Consider the following 24,369-nt stretch of genomic DNA (forward strand, 5'->3'; position numbering starts at 1 on the left):
GTGGGTGGTCGTCTGCACTGCAATCCCACACCCTCACCCACACCCTCATTGGTGAGCTGATTCCAGGTCCTCCGACCCCCACAGGGCTGCCTGTCAGCTGCAGCTCCACAGGCCCTGGCTGGCAAGTGGCCTCCAAAAAACTGCCACCTTCCCAGCTTTGTGGATGGTCAGCCCCAGGGTGAGTATCTCTGGCCTCTTAGTAAACTCTGGGTTTCCTACTTTCCCTACTTCCCCCACCTCTGTGCTCCAGGCTGCCTTGGGAATGTGGTAGGCGCCTCCCCTCTCCCGGGTTCTACCTCCCACACTTTGCCAAAGGAGAGAAAGTTTGATCCCCAACACAGCAAGAGGGTCAGCTGCTGAGCAGCAAAACAGAGGGCAAGGGCCCACTCCAGGGTTCAGAGTAACCCCAGGAGATACTCAAAAGAGGTAGGAACTGAGCACTAAGATGTTGGGGAGAGAAGAGGGAACTAAGAGCCTCTGCCATTAAATACGCCAGAAGTTACGTAGGGCCAAAGACAATTGCTTTTTCTTTAACCTCGGAAAATTTACCAAAAAGTATGATCCAGTAATCAGAATAGAAACAACCCTCCACATTGATGATGGTGGAAGCAGAAAAACAAGTTGAGTAAATCGAGTCGGCCTAAATCACTTGACAGTTGTATCATGCTTTAGCGCCTCAGCAGCTCTGGGTCCAGGCCCAGTTGGATGAAAATGGATTGTATTAGTCTGTACTCATGCTGCTAATAAAGACATACCCGAGACTGGGTAATTTAATAAGGAAAGAGGTTTAATTGACTCACAGTTCCACAGGGCCGGGAAGACCTCGGGAAACTTACAACCATGTCGGAAGGGGAAGCAAACACGTCCTTCTTCACATGGTGGCAACAAGGAAAAGTGCAGAGCAAAAGCGGGAAAGCCCCTTATAAAACCATCAGCTCTCAGGAGAACTCACTCACTATCACAAGAACAGCCTGAGGGTAAACACCTCCATGATTAAATTACCTCCTGCTGGATCCCTCCCATGACACGAGGGGATTATGGGAACTACAATTGAGGATGATATTTGGGTGGGGACACAGCAAAACCACGTCACAGATTCTGTGTCACATATCAGCTAACTGCATGATGCTGGCTGGGCCCCTGGAGCTCCGGGGTCCTTGAGAAGGAACAGGTACATTCTTTTTTTTTTTTTTTTTGAGATGGAGTTTCTCTCTTGTCGCCCAGGCTGGACTGCAATGGCGCAATCTCGGCTCACTGCAACCTCTGCCTCCCAGGTTCCAGCAATTCTCCTGCCTTAACCTCCTGAGTAGCTGGGATTACAGGTGCCCACCACCATGCCTGGCTAATTCTTTTCTTTTTTTTTTTTTTTCGAGATGGAGTTTTGCTCTTGTTGCCCAGGCACAATCTCGGCTCACCACAACCTCTGCCTCACAGGTTCAAGCGATTCTCCTACCTCAGCCTCTGAGTAGCTGGGATTACAGAGATGAGCCACCACGCCTGGCTAACTTTTTGTATTTTTAGTAGAGACAGGGTTTTACCATGTTGGCCAAGCTGGTCTTGAGCTCCTGACCTCAGGTGACCCACCTGCCTCAGCCTCCCAAAGTGCTGGGATTACAGGTGTGAGCCACTGCGTCAGGCCAAATTTTTGTATTTTTGGTAGAGACAGGGTTTCACCATGTTGGCCAGGCTGGTCTCAAACTCCTGACCTCATGATCCGCCCCTCTCAGCCTCCCAGAGTGCTGGGATTACAGGCGTGAGCCACTGCACCTGGCCCTTTTTTTCTTTTTTCTTTTTTTTTTTTTAAGAGATGGGGGTCTCACTATGTTGCCCAGGCTAGCTTAAAACTCCTAGGCTCAAGCAATTCTCCTGCCTTCCAAAAACAGAGTAGCTGAGACTATAGGCCTGTGCCACCATGCTTGGCTTAATGTTGAAATATCCTCTTTGGCTTCTTTATGAGAACCTTTTCTGCTTAAATTTACATCCCAAGGCATGGAGATCATCTAGTCTGAAGGAACTCATAGCTCTTCCTAAATTGCAACATTGTGAATAAAAAGTCTTAATAGAAGAGTATTGGTAAGGTTACTCAGTTCTCTCAAAGCCTTTATTTTTCCCAATTTGACATAGTTCTGGGCGATGGTCGCATCACCTAATGCAATAATTGCCATTCTTTCTGTGGAGCTTTCATTCAATTTGTGCTCAGTTATGGCAACCATGAAATCTATAGGTGTTTCCCCAGAGACAGTCTAAGCAGACATGAAGAAACAGAGCAGGAAAGAGAACACTCAGGGTTTGTAAAGCACACTTGACCAACTGCTGGAGTAAAAATGACTTTTGCACAAATGACATTTCATTTTTGTGTGTGTTTTTATTTTTTTATTTTTTTTGGTTTTGAGACATGGTCTCCCTTTGTTGCCCAGGCTGGAGTGGAGTGGCATTATCTCAGCCTACTGCAGCCTTGACCTCCCAGGCTCAAGTGATACTCCCACTTCCTCAGCCTCCTGAGTAGCTGGGACTACAGGTGTGTGCCACCACTCCTGCCTATTTTTTTTTTCAATTTTTTGTAGAAACGGGGTCTAACTATGTTGCCTAGGCTGGTCTCAAACTCTAAGACTCAAGTGATCCTCCCTCCTCAGCTCCCAAAGTGCTGAGATTACAGGCGTGAGCCACCACTCCTGGCCTACAAATGACATTTTTTTTTTGAAATATTGAGGAAAAAATTGAGGCAAAATTAATACAAGTAGAGAGTTTATTTGGGCCAAGTTTGAGGACTGCAACCTGGGACATTGGATTCAAATTGCCCTGAATATACACTCCCGGGTTGCCTTCCTCAAACTTGGGCCCACAAAACTCTCTACTTACGTAATTTTGCCTCCATTTTTTTCCTTTGGATCAACATATCTGACATAGCAGGATTTGGAGTGACTCAGCCCTGACCACCCGGTGTTTCTCTCTGGAAGTAGTGCTCAGCATCTGCACAAATCCACTGTGTCCTCTGTCTTCAGAAGTCCTATCCGGCGTTGCAGGTGAGTTCTGAATCTGGACCTCCCTTTCTTTGGTTAAGGTCCAGATTTTAATTTGGGCCGTTTCTCTTTTGACTCTCTCAGAATGAAGGTCTCTGTCTCTGACTTTCCTATTGAAGTCAGGGGATCAGGATTTTGTTTTCTGCCAACACAGAGAACGGCGGTTTGCTTTCGTTTTCAGCTGAGGTCTTGTTGCATTGTGACCTTTCATTCTGGAAATCAGACTTGTTTCACCTATGACCAACCTCTCTTGAAGTTATTTTTCCTAATTAATGAGAGTGAATGGATTCTTCACTCTAAAGATGAAAGGCTCTTGCTCCCTCTGACCTGTTAGAGTGCTCTAAATAATTAGAGACGTGGTGGAGGTGTTGGACCCTTGTCCATGATATCCAGTGGCCTTACAGGGTTTCCTCTCTCAGAGGAACATCTGCAATCTCTTGCTCTGCCAGCAAATGCACGCGAAGCCTGGTCACCTAGCACTAGTGAACCCTCTGTGACCCTCCAGGGACTCCGAGTTTCTGAGACACATAAAAGAGTGGACCCAACTCATTGGTGACATATTGAGGAGCTACACTCACAAGCAGCACATTTGGAACCGCAACATTCCCCAGAGCTTAGTCCTGAGTGATTCAGGTGTCTAAATTATGGGCGTTAAAGCAAACTAAATATGGCCTGAGAAGGACTCCATACTTCTATATTTGAGTCCTTGTGGACGAACTGTAACCTAGTAATAGGAAGACAGGGTGGTTCACGGTGGCTCATACCTGTAATCCCAGCACTTTGGGAGGCCAAGGCGGGTGGATCATTTGAGGTCAGGAATTTGAGACCAGCGTGGCCAACACGGTGAGACCCCATATCTACTAAAAGTACAAAAATTAGCCAGGTGTGGTGGTGCACACCTGTAATCCCAGCTACTTGGGAGGCTGAGGCAGGAGAATCGCTTGAGCCTGGGAGGCGGAAGTTGTGGTGAGCCAAGATCATGTCACTGCACTCCAGTCTGGGTGACAGAGTAAGACCCTGTCTCAAAAAAAAAAAAAAAAATGCAGACAAGATTGAAAATCTAATTTAGGAGTATGCACCTGTAACAATAGCTGAGTCTTGGCCAATCCCAGCAGCCATACTTCAACCACTCATAGATTGCTAAGTGTTCAAACTGTGTTCAAATAAGGTAAACACCAACCTGCAACCAATGCAGCTGTTTCTGTACCTCACTGCCGATTTCTGTATGCCACTTCCCTTTTTTTGTCTATAAATTTGTTCTGGCCATGAGGCATCCCTGGAGTCTCTCTGAATCTGCTGTGATTCTGGGGTCTGCCTGATTCACAAATCGTTCCTTGCTCAATTAATCTCCTTTAAATTTAATTCGGCTGAAGTTTTTTTTTTAACACGGGTAAAAAATCATCCAACTCCAAAGACTCTCTAAGGAGGCAGCCTTTCTTGGAGACACCAACTGGGTTTATGTACAACACATAATGGAGTGTCCTTTTGTAAATATCTAGGAAAACGGACCCGCATAACCCAGAATAGTCATAAGCAACAGTGGTCAAAATGGGGGTCCTTTGAAATGCCTAAAATAATTCATTTGCATGCACTATTGGAAAAAACTGGTTTTAAAACCATGCAAATTGAATGAGAGACCTACTTTCTCTTTATCCTGGATGAAATCTAATAATAATAGATTTGAAAAAAAAGTTTCAAGAGCTCTGTGGTCAGAAGTCAGCCTAACTAGAAGTTTGTGAACGAAAAATAAAATCCTAAGTCCCCCAACTGACTGAACAGACCCCCTATTGGCCAAGGGGACCCCAGAGAAACCTGAAAAACTGAATTCCCAGCCACAAAGGTGTTGAGGAATAGAGTCAAACCCTGTGAAATATTTGAAGAGATTTATTCTGAGCCAAATATGAGTGACCAATGGCCTGTGACACAGCCCTCAGAAGATCCTCAGAATATGGTGGTTGGGCCACAGCTTGGCTTTATACATTTTAGGGAGACATAAGACATCACTTGGCTGGGCACGGTGGCTCACACCTGTAATCCCAGCACTTTGGGAGGCCGACATGGGTGGATCATGAGGTCAGGAGATCGAGACCATCCTGGCTGACATGGTGAAACCCCGTCTCTACTAAAAAATACAAAAATTAACCAGGCATGATGGCGGGCACCTGTAGTCCCAGCTACTCGGGAGGCTGAGGCAGGAGAATGGCGTGAACCCAGGAGGTGGAGGTTGCAGTGAGCCGAGATAGCACCACTGCACTCCAGCCTGGGCGACAGAGCGAGACTCTGCCTCAAAAAAAAAAAAAAAAAAAAAAGACATCACTCAATACATGTAAGATGTACATTGGTTCAGTCCAGAAAGGCAGGGCAACTAGAAGCTGGTGGAGGGCTTCTAGGTCTTAGGTAGATTTAAAGATTTTTTGATTGGCAATTGGTTGAAAGAGTTAAGTTACTGTCTAAAGACTTAGAAATGTCCAGGTTAAGATAAGGGGTTGTAGAGACCAAGGTTTTATGATACAGGTGAAGCCTCCAGGTCTCAGGCTTCAGAGAGAATAGATTGTAAATGTTCTTATCAGACTTAAAGAGTCTGTTCTATCAGTAAATCCAAAAGGGAGGAGGGTATCATGAGGCATGTCTGAACCCCCTTCCCATCATGGCCTGAACTAGTGTTTCAGGTTAACTTTGGAATGCCCTTTAGGGACAGGAGGAGTCCATTCAGATGACTGGGGGTTTAGACTTTTATTTTTGGTTTACAGTGGGAAGTGAGGTCCGACATGTCTTGTTATACCCCTCCTCCCTTTTGGTGTTTAGGCACAACTGACAAGCATTGTGGTTAAAACAGGGATTATAAGACTGGCAAAAGAGAGTATCTGTGGCAATAAGATACCAAATTTTGAACAACAATCTGTTAGGCACAAACAGTTTCTCTTCAAAAGTTTCAGTTCCTGGTTCTTTGTTCTATTCTGAAAGTAATGTTACCTGTCCATCTATCAGCCCTCCCTATCTCTGTTGCACCCAAACACGTCCAAGCATGTCCCATCACCTATGTGCCCGTCCTTCCCATCAAGTGCCCACCCTTGCCTCCTTCGATGATGTCAATACTAGCCAATCGGGATTAGCTTAGATCGTGCGGTCTGACTCCAGCCAACCGGGGGAGGACCCAGGAACAGGGTCTGCATTAGGGATAAAAATGCCTGCTCTCCTTTGTTCAGTGTGCTCCCTTGCCTCTGCCTTGCATGCAGGTAGCACCCTTCTATAGAAGTAAAATTTTGCCTTGCAGAGAAGTTATCTGAGTGCTCATTTCCTTTGCAAGCTTTATTTCCTGAGCTTTATTTCCAACAAATCTAATAACCAGGCAGAATTGGGGGAAAAATAGAATTTTCAGAAATTAAAAATATGATATTTTAATTAAAGACTCAATGAATGATTAGAAACTGCTAGAGGCCATGAAAGGCAAGGGTTAAATCATACCCAACAAACCATAAAATCTCATTAACTGGGTTTTTAAAATTAACGCAGTATACTGTGGCTTACTTTCCAACCTGACTGTGGCTTAGCACCACATGGCAGATTACAGGCCCTGAAGGAAATAAAAATATTTTACTCCAAAATGTATTTGTTTGGCATACTTTGAAATGGTCCTGCAAAGCTGTCTTTCGTGGGGGAAGTTTGTATCTGTAGAGAATCTCCACCACTGCAACCAGGTCTTCCTTTCTAGGCCTTTCCAAGATCTAGGAGAGATTAACTGAGAGGCTGACACTTTAAAAAATCTGAAAAGAGACATTTACCATCTATTCTTTCTGAGGGCTGGTCCCTGTGAGGCTTCATCTCCATAATAAGGGCCTTGGCACCCGTGACTCCCTTTTTTATTTGTCATTTTTGTTGTTGTTGTTTTTAGACAGAGTCTCACTGTGTTGCCCAAGCTAGAGTGCAGCGGCATGATCTTGGCTCACTGCAAACTCCACCTTTCAGGTTCAAGGGATTGTTGTGCCTCAGCCTCCCAAGTAGCTGGGATTACAGGCGTGCACCACCAGGCCCGGCTAATTTTTGTATTTTTAGTAGAGAGGGGGTTTCACCGTGTTGGCGAAGCTGGTCTTGAACTCCTGACCTCAAATGATCCACCCATGTCAACCTCCAAAAGTGCTGGGATTACAGGTGTGAGCCACCATGCTGCCCTGACCCTCTTACCTTAACACAAGCATTCTTTTCTACTGAATTCAAGTCTTTAAGCAATAGCTTAACTCTCTCAACCATCAACTAAAGAATTTCTAAAACCCACCCATGACTTGCAAGCTCCCACTTCAAGATGTCCCAACTTTTCAGGCCAAACCAATGTATACCTTTTATGTATTGATTTATATCTTTGCCTGTAACTCCTGTCCCTCTAAAATGTGTAAAACCAAAGTGTAACCTGACTCCTCAGGCACACTTTCTCAGGACCTCTTGAGACTATTCCCCTGGCCATGGTCACTCATATGGGCTCAGAATAAACTTCTTTAATATATTTCACAGAGTTTGGTTTTTCTGTTTACAAGCCAATACCCAGGCTATATGTGAGGCTGGGGGCTCTTTGCTTTTTCTCTTTTGGATTCTGTTTCTGGGAATTTTTTTTAGTTGATTGACACCTCTTACAAAAAAAAAAGTTTGATCCCTCTGCTTTCTGGTTGGCATGATTTTGCTGATGAAAATGTAAAACTTAATTGGCTTTTTAGAAAGCTTAAAACCTCCCCAAATTGGCTCCTCTAAGATTTGTTCTTCCATTTCCTGCCACTTCTGGTCCTCTATAACCCACACTCTATAGCTCAACACTGTACAGCCAATCATTAATCAATGTTATTTCTGTAAACCAATGAGAATTCCTGACAAACAACTTTGTATCAGCCCACTCCTTGTCCTCTTTTTTGCCTTTAAAAACCTGCTTGTAACAAAGGCCCAAGCCTCCACCCATTTCTGACACTATGGTAGACTAGATGTTCAGAGAAACTCTCCTGGTACAGAAACTCAAAATGATGGCTAAAATCGTAAAAACATATTCTTAAAAGTATTGCTTGCCTGGCAGAAAAGTAAGGGAAAAGAATAAGAGAAAGAATAAGGAAGCATGTAGCAAAAAATGGTAAGCCAGCACTCAAGTCAGTGCTGCCTTTGCAATATCTGCAAATTCCTGGTGCCCAAGGCCTGGGTCTTACGGGCCACACCTGGGGACAGGAGACAACACCTAGGGCCCATTCGAAATGGGAAGTTGGATCAGAGACTCTGTCACAAAGTTGGGATCCTCAAAAGGCAACACCCTCAGTAAGGATGTTTTGTTGTGGGGGAGGCCAAAATTTTAAAGTGGTCACGATTTAGTAGTGTTTCCTGGCACAAGCAGGTGCAAACCTTCTCTGGAGGAACACGTTTTAAATTCATGCAGTGGCCAGGCACGGCCACTCACACCTGTAATTCCAGCACTTTGGGAGGCTGAAACAGACCGATGGCTTGAGCCCAGGAGTCTAAGACCAGCCTGGGCAACATGGTGAAACCCCACCTCTACAAGAAATACAAAAATTAGCTGGGTGTGGTGGCACATGCCTGTAGTCCCAGCTACCCAGGGGGCTGAGGTGGGATGACTGCTTGAGCCCCGGGGGTTGAGACTGCAGTGACCCATGATCAGGCCACTGCACTCCAGTCTGGGTGATAGAGCGAGACCTTGACTCAATAAAAATAAGTAATAAATAAATCCATGCTTTGAAGGATTCCCATGGATACAATTCCAACAACCTTGAGCTTACAACAAACAATTTTAAAAGTCAGAAGGAGGCATGTCACTCTAAATGAGCAATAGCCGTACCATTGAACTCTAGAATCACACTTGAGAGGATTGCAAATCATGTAATGTTTAGGCATAGAATATACAGTAAAGATGTTTAATAGGTTTAAGGAAAGAAAGAGAATTCTGAAAAGACAATGCAGGAATAAGAGGCTGTCAAAAATAACCAGGCAGAATTGGGAAAAAATAGAATTTCTAGAAATTAAAAATATGATATTTTAATTAGAGACTCAGTGGATGATTAGAAACTGCTAGAAATAGGTCTAGCAGCCTGGGCACAGTGGCTCATGCCTATAATCCCAGCACTTTGGGAGGCTGAGGAGGGCGGGTCAGTTGAGGTCAGGAATTCGAGCCCAGCCTGGGCAATATAGTGAAACCCCATCTCTACCAAAAATACAAAAAAATTAGCCGGGCATAGTGGCACACGCCTGTCGTCCCAGCTATTCTGGAGGCTCAGGCAGGAGAATCACTTGAGCCTAGGAAACGGAAGTTGCAGTTAGCCAAGATCATGCCACTGCACTCCAGCCTGGGCGACAGAGGGAGACTCCGTCTCAAAAAAAAAAAAGAAAAGAAAAAGAAAAAGAAATAGATCTAGCAAATCAGAAGACGGATCTTTAGAAATTAACCAGATTTCAGTTCGTAGGGAGAAAGAGATGGAAAATATAAAAAGAAGAATAGATTATAAGAGAAGACCTTCATGTCCTTGGAATAGGGAAATATTTTTTTAGAGAAGACACAAAAAGCATTAACTCTAAAGGAAAAGAGTGAGAAATTATACTACATAAAGTTAGGAGCACCTATTCATCACAAGATACCGTTGAGAGAGTGAAAAAGACAAGTTCACAGACTGGGAGAAGATACTATTTGCCATATAACTCACATATTTAAAAGGGCTTCTATCAAGAATGTATTAAAAATCCCCACAGAGCAATAAGACAGAGACTGATAATTCAGTAGTAAATGGCTAAATGGGTTAGAAACACAGTTTTTTTGTTTTTGTTTTTGTTTTTTTAAAGAGACAGAGTCTCTCTGCGTCACTCAGGTTGGAGTGCAGTGGCACCATCATAGGTCACTGCAACCTCGACCTCCTGGGCTCAAGGGATCCTCCTGCCTCAGTCTCCCAAAGTGCAGGGATTACAGGCGGGAGCCACCTCATCTGGCCTTGGTCAGGCACTTTCTAAAGAGGATATCCAAATGGCTGAACATGCTCAACTTCATTAGTTATTAGAAAAATGCAAATTGAAATCTTGAGATACTACAACACACCCACCAGAATGGTTAATATCTGTATCTGTTAAATCCAGGGTATAAACACACCTAAGGCCGGGCGCTTTGGCTCACGCCTGTAATCCCAGCATTTTGGGAGGCCTAGGCGGGCGGATCACCTGAGGTCAGGAGTTCTAGATCAGCCTGGCCAACATGGAGAAACCCCGTCTCTACTAAAAATACAAAAAAATAAGCCGGGCGTGGTGGTGCACGCCTGTAGTCCCAGCTACTCAGGAGGTTGAGGCAGGAGAATCGCTTGAGCCTGGGAGGCAGAGGTTGCAGTGAGCTGAGATTGCGCCACTGCACTCCAACCTGGGCGACAGAGTGAGACTCCGTCTCAAAAAAAAAAAAAAAAAAAAAAGATATGCATGAGAGCGCTCATAACAGCGTTATTTGTAATAGCCCCAAGCTGGAACCCTGCTTTTGTTTCCTATGGCGCTGGGGCTGAGGTTCTGCAAACCACTTTCTGCTTTGCCAGCTGGCACTTCGCTGGGCTCCACCAATAGAGGGTGCTAGAGGAAGCCCGCAAGACGGGAGGAGGGAGCGGGGATTTGCTTCTTGCAGTTTACTTCTTGCGCCCCCCTATCAAGGTGGCAACAGCTCTTTAACCCGGCAGCCCCACTTGGTTTAAGTTTCCAACTTTTTCCCCATTCTCAGAACCACCCTTGGCTGGGCGCGGTGGCTAGCGCCTGTAATCCCGGCACTTTGGGAGGCTGAGGCGGGTGGATCACTTGAGGTCAGGAGTTGGAGACCAGCCTGGAGACCACAACGAAACCCTGTCTCTACTAAAAATACAAAAATAAGCAGGACGTGGTGACACGTGCCTGTCATCCCAGCTACTCAGGAAACTGAGGCAGGAGAATCGCTTGAACCTGGGAGGCAGAGGTCGCAGTGAGCCAAGATTGTACCAAAGCACTCCAACCTGGGCAACAGAGCGAAACTCCGTCTCAATTAAAAAAAAAAAAAAAGTACAAGCCTTTAGCCTGCCCCTTCAAAGATGCCAGCACCAGTTATACAGCACTCTGTGTTCTGAAGCCTGAGTTCCACCTCGGCAGGGCTCCTCCAAGCTTCTAGGTTCCAGTAACTCCCACCTTTTTCTTTCATTAACTCCACCGCTCTACGTCCTTCAGTTGCCACCTCTCTGTTCCTTGGAATTTGTCTTTTGCCTTTGCAGTCCTTACCGTTAAATTCCCTCTGTTATAATAACTGGTGTGGTTTTTATGTTCCTAATTGGACCCTGACTCATACAACAGCCCAGATAAGATTCTTTTGGCGTCTGACCTGTTTCTGGACTACATACAGTATTACTTCCCTTTTCTTATTTTTATTTTTATTTTGAGAGGGGGGTCTCGCTCTGTCACCCAGGCTGGAGTGTAGTGGCACAATCAGCTCACTGCAGCCTCAAACTCCTAAACTCAAGGGATCCTCCCACCTCAGCCTCCCAAGTAGCTGGTACTACAGGTGCGTGCCACCATGCCCAGTTATTTCCCTTTTAAGTAGGGAATCTGAGGGCTGCAATAGTTTGCAGATCCTCACAGCCTTGCTTGGTTGATTGTCCTTGGCATCTTGGCATGGTTACAGAAACAAATCAGAGCCAAAGAAAGCTGAGAGTCTTGGGTGTGACTGTTTGCCATGGGACAGCTAGGGTCAGGCCAATCTTTATGAACATGGTACTTGCTGGACTTTTTTTTCTCTCCTGTGAATGTGCATGGGAACAGTAGTGTCTTTCCTATAGTCTTCATGACCCTCCCCAGTTGCTGGAGCAACTGAACTTGAAAATTTCCAGCTCCAGAGGCACTTTTTTTTTTTTTTTTTTTTTGAGACGAGGTGTTGCTCTGTTGCCCCCAAGGCACAATCACAGCTCACTGCAGACTTAACCTCCCAGGCTCAAGTGATCCTCCCACGTTAGTCTCCTGAGTAGCTGGAACTACAGGGGCACCACCATGCCCAGTTGATTTTTTATTTTTTAATTTTTTTGTAGAGACGGAATCTCACTATATTGCTTAGGCTGGTCTCGAACTCCTAGGCTCAAGGGATCCTCCCTCCTCGGTCTCCCAACGTGTTGGGACTACAGGCGTGAGCCAATGCACCTGGCTCAGAGGCACCTTGTTGTTACTATGGCACCATTGTGTCTGTGTGCGTTTAATGACATCATTGCAAGGGCTGATTCTTTAACCAGATTGTAAACATGTGTGCAAAAGTTGCCCCGCAAATTAACAGGAAAGTTGTGCAATTTGCAAGCAGAGCAGCATGACCTAAGGCCTTGATGGGCCATGATCTTTCAGTGTCCTTCCCCTGGCAGGTGGGTAGCAAACATTATGAATTATCATAAACCCAGTCCATCCTCCCCACCCAAAAAAAACGCCTCGTGATATATAATTTTCCTAACCGGGTTAAGTACATGATTCCTACCATTTAAATCTATGTCTAAATAAAGCAGAAGAACACAAACTGCTTATTTTAAAATCTATTTTTATTTATTCTTAGAGCCAGAATATTTTCTTAAGATTTTCGTAGTGTATAAATTCTAGATTTTGCCAGGCTTTTGGTTCTGCCCAGAGGCACTAGATTGGGCAGAAATGGATAGAAATTTCCTCTGTCTCCACTCAGATGCATGTTTTTGTCACCCCAGTTGTATTCAGTGAGCTTGTTTTCTGATTTATTTTTTTAAGTGGGACCCATTCATTTCCATTAAGGCCCTCATGAATACTATCCAGGCTGGGGCTTGGCTGTGCCTATCTTGGGGCAGAGTAGTCTCTATTATCCAGAAGATCTCCTGGCTTGATGTCTTATCTTTGCATTGTCAAATGTATTCAGCAGGCATTCATGTTATACCTGCGACAGCGGTACATCATGTCACTTCCAGATCTGGACCAGATAACTCCTGGGATCCTGGTTGTGTAGCCTGGCTATCATATCTCCCTCAGGAAAAACTAGTGTTATCAGCTCCCTTTCTTGCTTCTTTTAAGGACCTACATGGATTTTTCTGAAGTGCCACTGCACAATGCTTCCTCTTTCCAATACCTGTTAGATCTGAAAGGGGAATTGAGTCTCCCGTGGGTGCTGGGGTATGGCTGAGGGGTAGGTGTGGTCTGCAGGGCACCACGTGCAGCTTGTCTGTAGGCTCCATTAAAGACCAGTCAGGGCTGAGCACAGTGGCTCACGCCTGTAATCCCAGCACTTTGGGAGGCCGAGGCGGGCAGATCGGCGGGCAGATCACAAGATCAGGCATTCGAGACCAGCCTGGCCAACATGGTGAAATGTCGTCTCTACTAAAAATACAAAAATTAGCCAAGCGTGGTGGCACGTGCCTGTAGCCCCAGCTATTCGGGAAGCTGAGGCAGGAGAATCACTTGAAACTGGAAGGCAGAAGTTGCAGTGAGCCAAGATCACGCCACTACACTCCAGCCTGGGTGAAAGAGTGAAACTCCAACTCAAAAAAAAAACAAAAAAACACCAGTCAGATGTGCAGGGATGGGAAGATGCTGGCCTGCATGTACTCTTCATCCCCTACCTTTCCTGACATCCTCACAGGAGCCATGGAACAGCCAGAGTGAACATTCTAGCGGTGCCTCAGGCCACGCCTTCTCTCAAGATCCATATGCCACTTTCTTTTTTATGCCCCTGAGCATGAACGCAAGGATCACAGTGGAGACAACTTTTCCTCTCCTGGAAGTCTGGGACAAAGGCTGCAAGCCTCAGGTTCCCTGAGGGAACTCACCTGGCAGGCCTCCGTGGAGTCCCCTGAGAGGGAACTCCAAGGGGCTGCCCCACCACTCGCTGTATCTTGGGAGGGTCCCCCATGCTGCCACACAGACAAGAGGAGGGACTGCTCTGACTGATTCATGAGCTCCCCAGTGCATCCACTCAGGGAGACCCCTTCCCCAGACAGTGGAGGGTCATGACGGGGCAGCTTTTTAGCTGCGTCCCACCAGGATGAAACATTCATCTTCCAATTCCTGGTGTTTCACCCTGGTCCAAGAGACCCTGGCTGCCTGTTCTGAATGGGAATATCCCATCGTTAGTAAGTTAGAGAAAACTACAATCCATTTAAATGACTCAATAATCTGCAGAAGGAAAACTAAACCGAACAACTCAAACAAGTGGTTTTTAATGAGACCGAACCAAAAGAAGTAACGGAAATGTTTTTTAGCATCAACACAAAACTGTACAAGAAATTAACACACTATAAGATTTTCCTCCCCTTCTAGCAATAATATCTCAATGTCCTCTCCCAGCTAAGTCCGTGTGGTTTGAGAGGGACGAACTGCACCCCAGATCTCGATTTAGACACGACCCCATTTATGCCAAGGAGAGTCAAACCCAGGATTTTGTGGGCGTGGAAGTAAGTGTCCATCCGACTCCTCATTGCTGCTTTTCAATGATTTCTTCTCCCTTCTATTTCAAAAACACCAGGGGCTTTAGAGTTTGTACCCTCTGGTTTGTCCCCCAATATCCTTTGTTGGTGGCAACTTCTACTAAATTCTGAGTCATTCCCTGTCTTTCATTGAAGATTTTATCATCTGACTGTCTTTCTCTCTATCCTATTCTTGTCATCATTTTTTTGGTTTCAACACTCAAATGGATGATTTATCCAACATCTTGGCATCTTAGATTCTGACCTCCTCAAATGCAATTTTCTATTTTCTCTCTTCAGCCACCCATTTCTATGGTCATGCCCTTAACCTTGTCAAAACCAATAATACACCATTCTCAGAATCTCTATTTTAAGCATTCTGATTGGATATTGTGATCCCTATGTCTTATCCTTCCATCTCAGTCTCATGCCTGCAGTCCAGTATTTCTTCAGTCTTCTTGAGACCTTTAATTCATTTGCTTCCTTCTGTCTTACTAACCATCTTCCCTCGTGTCCTTACTTCCTCTTTATTCATCCCAGATTCTATGTTCATTGTTGTAATTGCTCCTTTGCAAATATCCTTATCCCTTACCCCTCCTCTCCCACTGTTTTTGCGTTGCAACATCCCGACCCTGCACGGTCTTCCCACTCTACACTTCATCTGAACACTGCTGGAAATGAATACACGATTGTGTTCACTGGCCTGCCTCAAAATTCTCAACCAAAAATCTCAAATAGGCACTCAACACTCTGTGGCAATCTTCCCTGATATGTTTTCTTTCTTACATTCTAACACATTTATTTCTCGCCTTCTTTTTTCTCCTCAGAACCTCTCAGCTTGCCATCACCACGTACTTCATGACAAAAACAAGAGCAATCAGGCAGTAATCCCCTGTTTTCAGACAGGCTGCAGTGAGCTGTGGTCGCACAAGGCTGCAGTGAGCTATGGTGGCGCCAGGCTGCAGTGAGCTATGATTTCACCAAGGTGCAATGTGGCTGTTACCACAGCTACCCATTTCCCAGCTGGCGTGTCCAGGCTCACCATGGGTGATGCGCCCCTTCCCACCAGAGGCCTGTTCTTTTCTGGGGCCAGAATCCCACCCCCTCTTGCTCTTCCAAAGGGCCTCACTCCTAAAATTATTCCCTCTGCCTTCTGCATCCTCAGCTTCTCGCCCTCCACTGGATCATTTCTCTCACGTATATTAGCATGCAAACACTCTCTAGCATGGCATCTCCCATTAAACAAAACTCCTGACCCCACTTCCCCACCTTAACTACCACCACATTTCCCTGGCCTGCTGCATAGCAAAAAAATTTAAGTGCTCTCTATTATTGCTGTCTCCATTGTCTTTCCTCACTCACTCACTCCAATCAAGAGCCCATCTCCAGCTCACTCCTACAACAGCACTGGTAAGGTTATTGGTGGCCTCCCTTTTGCCAAAGCTGATGTCGATTTCTGTGGTCTTGTGTCGCTATGTTTTTGTGTTTTGGGCATCATTTGATTTCACTACTCCATCTTTTCTCTTCTTTCCTTTTTTTTTTTTTCTTTTGAGAGACAGGACCTTACTCTGTCGCCCAGGCTGGAGTGCAGTGGTGTGATCATAGCTCAGTACAGCCTGGCAGCTCACTCCTGGCCTCAAGCAATCCTTCCACTTTGGCCTCTGGCATTACTCCCAGCTCCATCCTTCTTGAAACACTTCTCTAGGTTTCCTAATCAACTCAGTCTTCTTCCTGGCTCCTTCTCCCCGTTCTACTTCTTTTTTTTGTTTGTCTTTGTTTTGAGATGGAGTTTCGCTCTTGTTGCCCAGGCTGGAGTGCAATGGTGCGATCTCGGCTCACTGAAACGTCCGCCTTCCGGGTTCAAGGGATTCTCCTGCCTCAGCGTCCCGAGTAGCTGGGATTACAGGCGTGTGCCACCACGCCTGGCTAATTTTGTGTTTTTAATAGAGATGGGGTTTCTCCATGTTGGTCAGGCTGGTCTCGAACTCCCGACCTCAGGTGATCCACCAGCCTTGGCCTCCAAAAGTGTTGTGACTACAGGCATGAGCCACCACACCCAGCCCTCCCTGTTCTACTTCTAAACCTAAAAATAGTGTGAAGAAAATCAGCAAGGCAAAAATCACTATCAGCATAATCAAAAGGCAAGTGTCAGACTGGACAACAGTATTTGAGCTCAGGTCATAAACATAGGGATAATCTCCCTAATATTTAAAGAGCTCCTAGAAATCATTAAGAAAAAGACCAAAACCCCATAGAAAAATGGAGAAAGAATATAAACAGACAGATCTCAGGAAGGGAATACAAATGGCCAGTTAGCAACACAAAGAGAGAGGCCAGCTCATTAATAATAAAGGGAAGTGTAGATTAAAGCTACACTGAAATACTGTCTCATAGCCAGGCACAGTGGCTCACACCTGTAATTCTCAGCACATTTGGAGGCTGAGACGGGTGGATCACTTGAGGTCAGGAGTTCAAGACCAGCCTGGCGACCACGACGAAACCCTGTCTTTACTAAAAATACAAAAATTAGCTGGGCACAGTGGCGCGCACCTGCAGCCCCAGCTACTTGGGAGGCTGAGGCAGGAGAATCACTTGAACCTGGGAGGTGGAGGTTGCAGTGAGTTGCGATCATGCCACCGAACTCCAGCCTGGGTGACAGAGTGAGACTCCTTCTAAAAACAAAACAAAACAAAACAAAACAAAAAAAACCCATCTCACCTATCATATGGATAAAAACTCAAAGTTTGACAACATGCTCTATGGGAAACAGTTCTTTCTCATATTTTGCTGTGACAGTAATGTGAAAAGAGATTTTAAATGGATAAGACGAAAAGTACAAAGCAGTGTGTATTTTATGCTACCAGATCATACATCATTTCTGTTTTATTTGCATAAGATACACACACACACACACACACACACACACACACACACAAAACAATAAAAAGCAGTTACTTGTTCTAGTGGAAACTGGAGCAGATGGGGGATAAGGTGAAAGTGAGTCTTGTTTTTTTTTTTTTTTTTTTGAGATGAGGTCTTACTATGTTGCCCAGGCTAGAGTGCAGTGGCATTATCACAGCTCACTGCAGCCTTGAACTCCTGGGCTCAAGCAGTCCTTCTGTCTCACCCTCCCAAGTAGCTGGGACTACAGGCGCCACACACCACCAAGAGAGTGAATCTTTCAAGTGTATGCCTTTTTAGGTTATTTGACTTGTAAACTATATGAAATGTATAATTTTTTTTAGTTTTTTAATTTTTTTTTTTTTTTTTTTTGAGACAGAGTCTCGTCCTGTCACCTAGGCTGGAGTGCAGTGATGCAATCTCGGCTCACTGCAACCTCTGCATCTCAGGTTCAAGCGATTCTCCTGACTCAGCCTCTTGAGTAGCTGGGACTACAGGCATGCACCACCATGCCCGGCTAATTTTTGTATTTTTAGTAGAGAGAGGGGTTCACCATGTTGGCCAGGCTGGTCTCAAACTCCTGACCTCAGGCGATCTGCCCACATCAGCCTTCCAAAGTGGTAGGATTACAGACATGAGCCACCACACCTGGCCAGTTTTTAAATTTTTTATCTTTATGAGACAGTCTCACTCTGTTGCACAGGCTGGAGTACAGTGGTGTGATCGCGGCTCACTGCAACCTCTGGCTCCTGGGCTCAAGTGATCCTCTCACCTCAGCCTCCTGTAGCCTCCCTCCTGTACCTGGGACTACAGGCACATGCCACCACACGCGGCTAATTTTTGTATTTTTTAGTAGAAACAGTGTTTCATCATGTTGCCCAGGCTGGCCTTGAACTCCTGGGCTCAGCAATCCGCCCGCCTCAGCTCCCCAAAGTGCTGAGATTACAGGCATGAACAACCGCACCTGGCCAATTTTTTTTTTGTTTTGTTTAATGAGAAACAAACAAATATGAGTTCAAAGAGTTTCCTGGGGAAGTTTTTCTGTACAATAGTTCAAAGAACACAGAGAAATGCGTTTCATCTTCAAAGGAAGTTAGGGCATTATTATAAGCAGGGTGTGTAGATCCTGAATTGGACTTTAGTCCTGTACCATTCGGAGGTGATCATGATGGCCTGGATGGATGTTTATGATGACAGGCACCAGCATCACCAAGCATGCATTGATCTATTTGAATACTTTCCACCAGATCCATGACTTGGCCATGTACTGATTCCGATTTTATCAGCACGTCAGCTAACACCGTTATCTGCTTTAATCACAACTTTTACCAGAAGCATTGGCATCAGTTGGACGCTTCTAGCTGCTAGGCAGAACATACTCAAACCAAATAGCTTACACAATAAGGACAGCCATCATTTCACATAAGATGATGTCTGGAGGCCAGGTGGTCCACGATTGGCTCAGAGCCTTGATGAAGTCATCACAGATCCAGGTCCACCGATGAATTTGTCTTTCTGCCTTGCTATCCTCAGCAGGTTGATGATGCTTTCACTTTGGGTTTCAAAATAGCTGTAGCAATTCCAGACAATATGTGAAGATATGACTTGATCCAGCAAAGGAGAACAGGAGAAAAGGGGGTGCTTCTTCTCATGCATCTGTTTTTATTGGAATAATATAGAAATAAAAACTTCCTGACGTAATTTTAAGACAAAAATATGCTATATAAGTAACTGTATTACTAATTTTTTTCTTCTTTTTTTGTTTTTTGAGACAGGGTATCCCTCTGTCACCCAGGTTGGAATGCAATAGTGTGATCTCAGCTCACTGCAGCCTCCACCTCCTGGGCTCAAGCAATCCTCCCATCTCAGCCTCCAGAGTAGCTGGGATTACAGGTGTGCGCCACTATGCCCAGCTGATTTTCAAATTTTTTTTTGTAGAAATGGAGTCTTGCTTGTTGCCCAGGCTGGTCTCAAACTCTTGATCTCAAGTTATCCACCCATCTCCACCTCTCAAAGTTCTGGGATTACAGGTGTGAGCTACCTGCCCGGCCTGTTTCTTAGTTCTAATAGTATTTTTGGTGTATTCTTTGGGATTTTCTATATACAAAATCATGTTGTATGCAAATGCAGGTGGTTTTACTTCTTCCTTTCCAATTTGGATGACTTCTATATATATTTTTCTTGCCTAATTGTTCTGGCTAGAACTGCCAGTACAAGGTTGAATAAAAGTGACAGCAATAGGCATCTTTGTTTTATTCCTGATCTTAGGGAGAAAACTTCAGTCTTTCATCATTAATTATAATAGTATTAACTGTGAGTTTTTCATAAGTGCCTTTCATCAGGTTGAGGAATGTCCCTTCTATTCTTAGTTTGTTGAGTGTTTTTATCATGAAAGGGTGTTGGATTTTGTAAAATGCTTTATCTGCATCTATTAAGATGATCATATGGTTTCACCCCTTCATTTCATTAATGTGGCATAGCACATTAATTGATTTGCATATGCTGAACCACAGTTGCAATCCTGGGATAAATCCCACTTAGTCATGGTGTAAAACCCTTTTTGTGTGCTGCTAGTGTTTTTTTGTTGTTTTTTGTTTTGTTTTGTTTGTTTTTAGAACCTGTGTTCAGCCAAGCTGCTAGTTTTTGTTTACTAATATTTTTGAATATTTTTGCACTGTATTCATAGGGGATGATGTTCTGTAGATTTCTTTTCTTGTGATGTCTTTGTCTGATTTGGGGCAGGGGGCAGGGAACTCACAAAGTGCCAAAAGGGGAACACCTTCAGATTTGTTTCTGTTGCCCTAAGTCATAGAAGCTGGTAAGAGTGTGATCAATATACAAGAATTCTTTTTTTGGTTTCATTTTTTTTCTTTTTTCTTTGTTTTGTTTTGTTTCGTTTTTGTTTTTTTTTTGAGACAGAATCTTGCTCTGTCACCCAGGCTGGAGTGTAGTGGTGTAATCATGGTTCACTGCAGCCTTGACCTCTTCTGCCCTAGCCTGGATAATTTTTTTGTTTAATTTCTAGTAGAGATGAGGTCTCACTATGTTGCCCAGGCTGGTCTCAAACTCCTGGGCTCAAGCAAACCTCCCACCTCGGCCTCACAAAGTGCTGGGATTACAGGCATGAGCCTCTTTACCCAGTCAGTACAAGGATTCTTATTTGAACGTTGGATATGACATCAAATGTCAATTTGGACAGCTTGAAAGACCCACAATTAACCACTGCTCAGTTTGAGAAGCTGAACCAACAAAGATAGTTATGCACAAAGGAACATTACATATGAAAAGAGGCAAAGTAGCTAAAAAAACAGAGTACTGTTTTTAAAAAGTATCCAAAAGTTTTGAAATGCACCCTTATGGCTACTGAGTCCTTGTATGTTCAATTGCAGCAATATTTTGTGTGTGTCCATATCCTGGCATGAGTGTCAATTTTGGAGAAAAACTAATTTGAAGAGAATTTTTTTTTTACATTGGAAAGGTGATTAAAGAGTATCTAGGCTGGGCTTCGTGGCTCACCCCTATAATCCCAGCACTTTGGGAGGCCCAGGCAGGTGAATGACCCGAGGTCAGGCATTCGAGACCAGCCTGCCCAACATGGTGAAACCCCATCTCTATTAAAAATACAAAATTTAACCAGGCATGGTGGCAGTTGCCTGTAATCCCAGCTACTTGGGAGGCTGAGGCAGGAGAATCGCTTGAACCCGGGAAATGGAGGTTGCAGTGAGCCGAGATCACTCCACTGCACTCCAGCCTGGGCGACAGTGATACTCTGTCTCAAAAAAAAAAAAAAAAAAAAAGTATCTAAAGTGCCAGAAAAAATAATCGGGCGCAATGGTTGTTTGGCAACCCTCATTCAGGATGTTACGACACATTTCCCAAATATTCTGCTAATGGGAATCTTCCTGGCAACACAAACAATGAGTTTATCTCATGCAAAATGTATGAACATGGTGGATGACCTGCGAGGCACAGAAGGGAATGGAGGTGAAAGAAAAATGCTCTCACTAAACATTTCCAGCATCAGAATTTAGTATCCTTTCTATCACTTAAAACATGTTCTGACCAAGCAAGTGACACCACATGATCAATGAAGGAATCCCAAATACGTGGCTTGCAAAATCAAAACAAGACCTTTAGACCAACCACAGTTAACTCTCTGATTTGTCTTTTGTACCCCCTGGACCAATCTGCAGATGCATTTCTAGTTTTCCATGATGCCTGAAAGAACCTAAAGATGCTAGTGGGCAGACATGAACTCAGCCACATCTGATGGCCACTCCCCAAGAACCATTTTTCCTACTTGGAAGAGCCAACTGTCTTTGCCTCAAGAACAGGCTTCTGTCAGGAAGTCATCCTGTGGGACACTGACTTTTTTCTTTTTTTTTTTTTTGAGACAGAGTCTCGCTCTTTCGCCCAGTCTGGAGTGCAGAGGTGTGATCTCAGCTCACAGCAACCTCCACCTCCCAGGTTCAAGCAATTCTCCTCCCTCAGCCTCCCAAGTAGCTGGGATTACAGGCGTGTTCCACCATGCCCAGCTAATCTGTATATTTCCAGTAGAGATGAGATTTCACCACGCTGACCAGGCTGGTCTCAGACTCCTGACCTCAGATGATCTGCCCGCCTCAGCCTCCCAAAGTGCTGGGATTACAGGCGTGACCCACCATGCCCGGCCTGACACTGACTTCTAATGGTGCTAAAAACTTGTCCCTATGTGTCCTAGGAACTTTGAATTGTTGCAACTGCTTGTCCAGTCCAGCCTTGCGAAAAGAAAGAGCTCGTGGCAACCTCATCTCCACAAGTGTGGAGCTTCATGCATGCCCCCGACCTTTAAAGAGTAATATACCTCTCCTGTCACAAAGATCCCTGTCTTCAAAAGATGTTTCAAGACCAGCACAGTGGCCGAGCATGGTGGCTAATGCCTATAATCTCAACACTTTGGGAGGCCAAGGTAGACGGATCACCTGAGGTCACGACTTCAAGAACAGCCTGACCAACATGGTGAAACCCTGTCCCTACTAAAAATACAAAAATTAACCAGGCATGATGGTGGGCACGTGTAATCCCAGCTCTCCAGAGGCTGAAGCAGGAGAATCATTTGAACTCAGGAGGCAGAGGTTGCAGTGAGCCGAGATCACGCCCTTGCACTCCAGTCTGGGTGACAGAATGAGACCGTCAAAAAAATACATATATTTTTCCCATTAAGCATTATTTTGTTTATCTATTTGCTTTGTTTCCAGCCTTGGCATGAATTTAAGTGCTACCTTGTCAGATACTCATTCTCTCTCCATGTTTACATCTGTTTCTGGACTTTCCCGTGTACTACTCATCTATCTGTTCTACCATATAGTAAGGCAAAGACCACCTCACTATTCTTCTATAATATGTGTCCATCTATTCTCAGACTTATTCTTCCATATAAGTCTTCAAAACATTTAGTTCAGTTCTCTCTCCCTCTCCCCAAAACCTGTTGGGTATTATTTGAAATGTTATTCTATTCATTTGTTTATTTGTGACGTGGAAATCCCTGAGACGAGACAGCTGGAGAAGAATATCTCAAATTCTGTGTAAAAACTAATCTAAGTTCCAAGGTTCACCCCTAAACTATGCATGTGCAGAACATGCCCAAAGATGCATAGCAAAGGCTCTGAGAATGAAACTAAAATGTAAATATAAATCAACATCCAAGTCCCAGACCAACCCCTGAGTGGTACATGAAGGAACAGACCCAAACAGCAGAGCAAAGTCTTCCAAAACTGAACTGACTCATGTGGGAATCCATAGAAGATGAGACAGAACTTGTGGTCTGAATCTCGCTGGGTGGGTGGCCTGTTAAAACAAAGAAACAAACGAAAATCAACATTAACCAGCTCATCACTGTGGCTCACGCCTGTAATCCCAACATTTTGGGACACCGAGGTGGGTGGATGGCTTAGGCCCAGGAGTTAGAGACCAGCTTGGGCAACAAAGTGAGACCTCCATCTCTACCAAAACATAAAAAATAAAAAAAATTAGCCAGGCATGGTGGCTTGCACATGTGGTCCCAGCTACTCAGGAGGCTGAGGAGGGAGAACTTTTGTAGTCAAGGAGGCAGAGGTTGCAGTGAGCCAAGATCTTGCCACTGCTCTCTAGCTCTGACAACAGAGCTAGACCCTGTGTAAGAAAAAAAAAAACAGAAAACAAAAAAAAAAAAGAAAGAAAAAGAAAAGAAAAAAAGAAAATCAACAATATCCAGAAGATATAACAGAACTCAGAGCCTCAGAACAAAATATTCAGAATATAAAGAACCAGGAAAATCTGATAAGTTCTATCAGTTCTCAAGGGGAAAGACAATCAACAGATGCCAGCCCCAGTGTTGGGATTACCAAAGACTTTAAAGCTGTTATTATAATCATTCTTCAAGGAGAAAAGGTGAACATTCTTGAGAGAAAGGTAGACATTTAAAAGATGATTAGGTCATGATGGTCTGCCCTCATGAATAGATTAATGTCACTATCATGGGAGTGGGTTCATTATCTCAAGAGTGGATTTGTTATAAAAGTGAGTTCAGGGCTGGGTGTGGTGGCTCATGCCTGTAATCCCAGCACTTTGGGACGCCGAGGTCATGGAGGATCACCTGAGATCAGGAGTTTGAGACCAGCCTGGCCAACATGGAAAAACCTCGTCTCTACTAAAAGTACAAAATTAGCCAGGTATGATGGTGCACGCCTGTAATCCCAGCTACTCAGGAGGCTGAGGCACAAGAATTGCTTGAGCCTGGGAGGCAGAGGTTGCAGTGAGCCGATATCGCACCACAGCATTCCAGCCTGGGTGACAGGGTGAGACTCTGTCTCAAAAAAAAAAAAAAAAAAAAAATGAGATCAACGAGTTCAGCCCTCTCTTGGCTCCTCCTCTCCCTCCCCAACCACACACAAACATGCAACCACAGACTCTCCTGCCCTTCTGCCTTCCACCATAGGAATGACAAGGCCAAAAAAAGAGAAGGCCTTCACCAGAGGTGGCCCCTCAATCTTGGACTTCCCAGCCTC

General features: G+C 44.7%; 3 annotated features.

The window, feature by feature from the left end:
• Nucleotides 5,955-6,264: an enhancer, noted in NCBI's record as "active region_15493". NCBI's record gives its function as "activates an Ori minimal core promoter by ATAC-STARR-seq in GM12878 lymphoblastoid cells {active_cell/tissue: GM12878}" and the evidence as "EXISTENCE:reporter gene assay evidence [ECO:0000049][PMID:35858748]".
• Nucleotides 10,579-10,628: a silencer, noted in NCBI's record as "silent region_11288". NCBI's record gives its function as "represses an Ori minimal core promoter by ATAC-STARR-seq in GM12878 lymphoblastoid cells {active_cell/tissue: GM12878}" and the evidence as "EXISTENCE:reporter gene assay evidence [ECO:0000049][PMID:35858748]".
• Nucleotides 12,084-12,378: an enhancer, noted in NCBI's record as "tiled region #2640; HepG2 Activating DNase matched - State 5:Enh". NCBI's record gives its function as "activates a minimal TATA promoter and a strong SV40 promoter by Sharpr-MPRA in HepG2 cells {active_cell/tissue: HepG2}" and the evidence as "EXISTENCE:reporter gene assay evidence [ECO:0000049][PMID:27701403]".

Source organism: Homo sapiens, chromosome 2 (assembly GCF_000001405.40).
Source record: "Homo sapiens chromosome 2, GRCh38.p14 Primary Assembly".
Taxonomy (NCBI): Eukaryota; Metazoa; Chordata; class Mammalia; order Primates; family Hominidae; genus Homo; species Homo sapiens.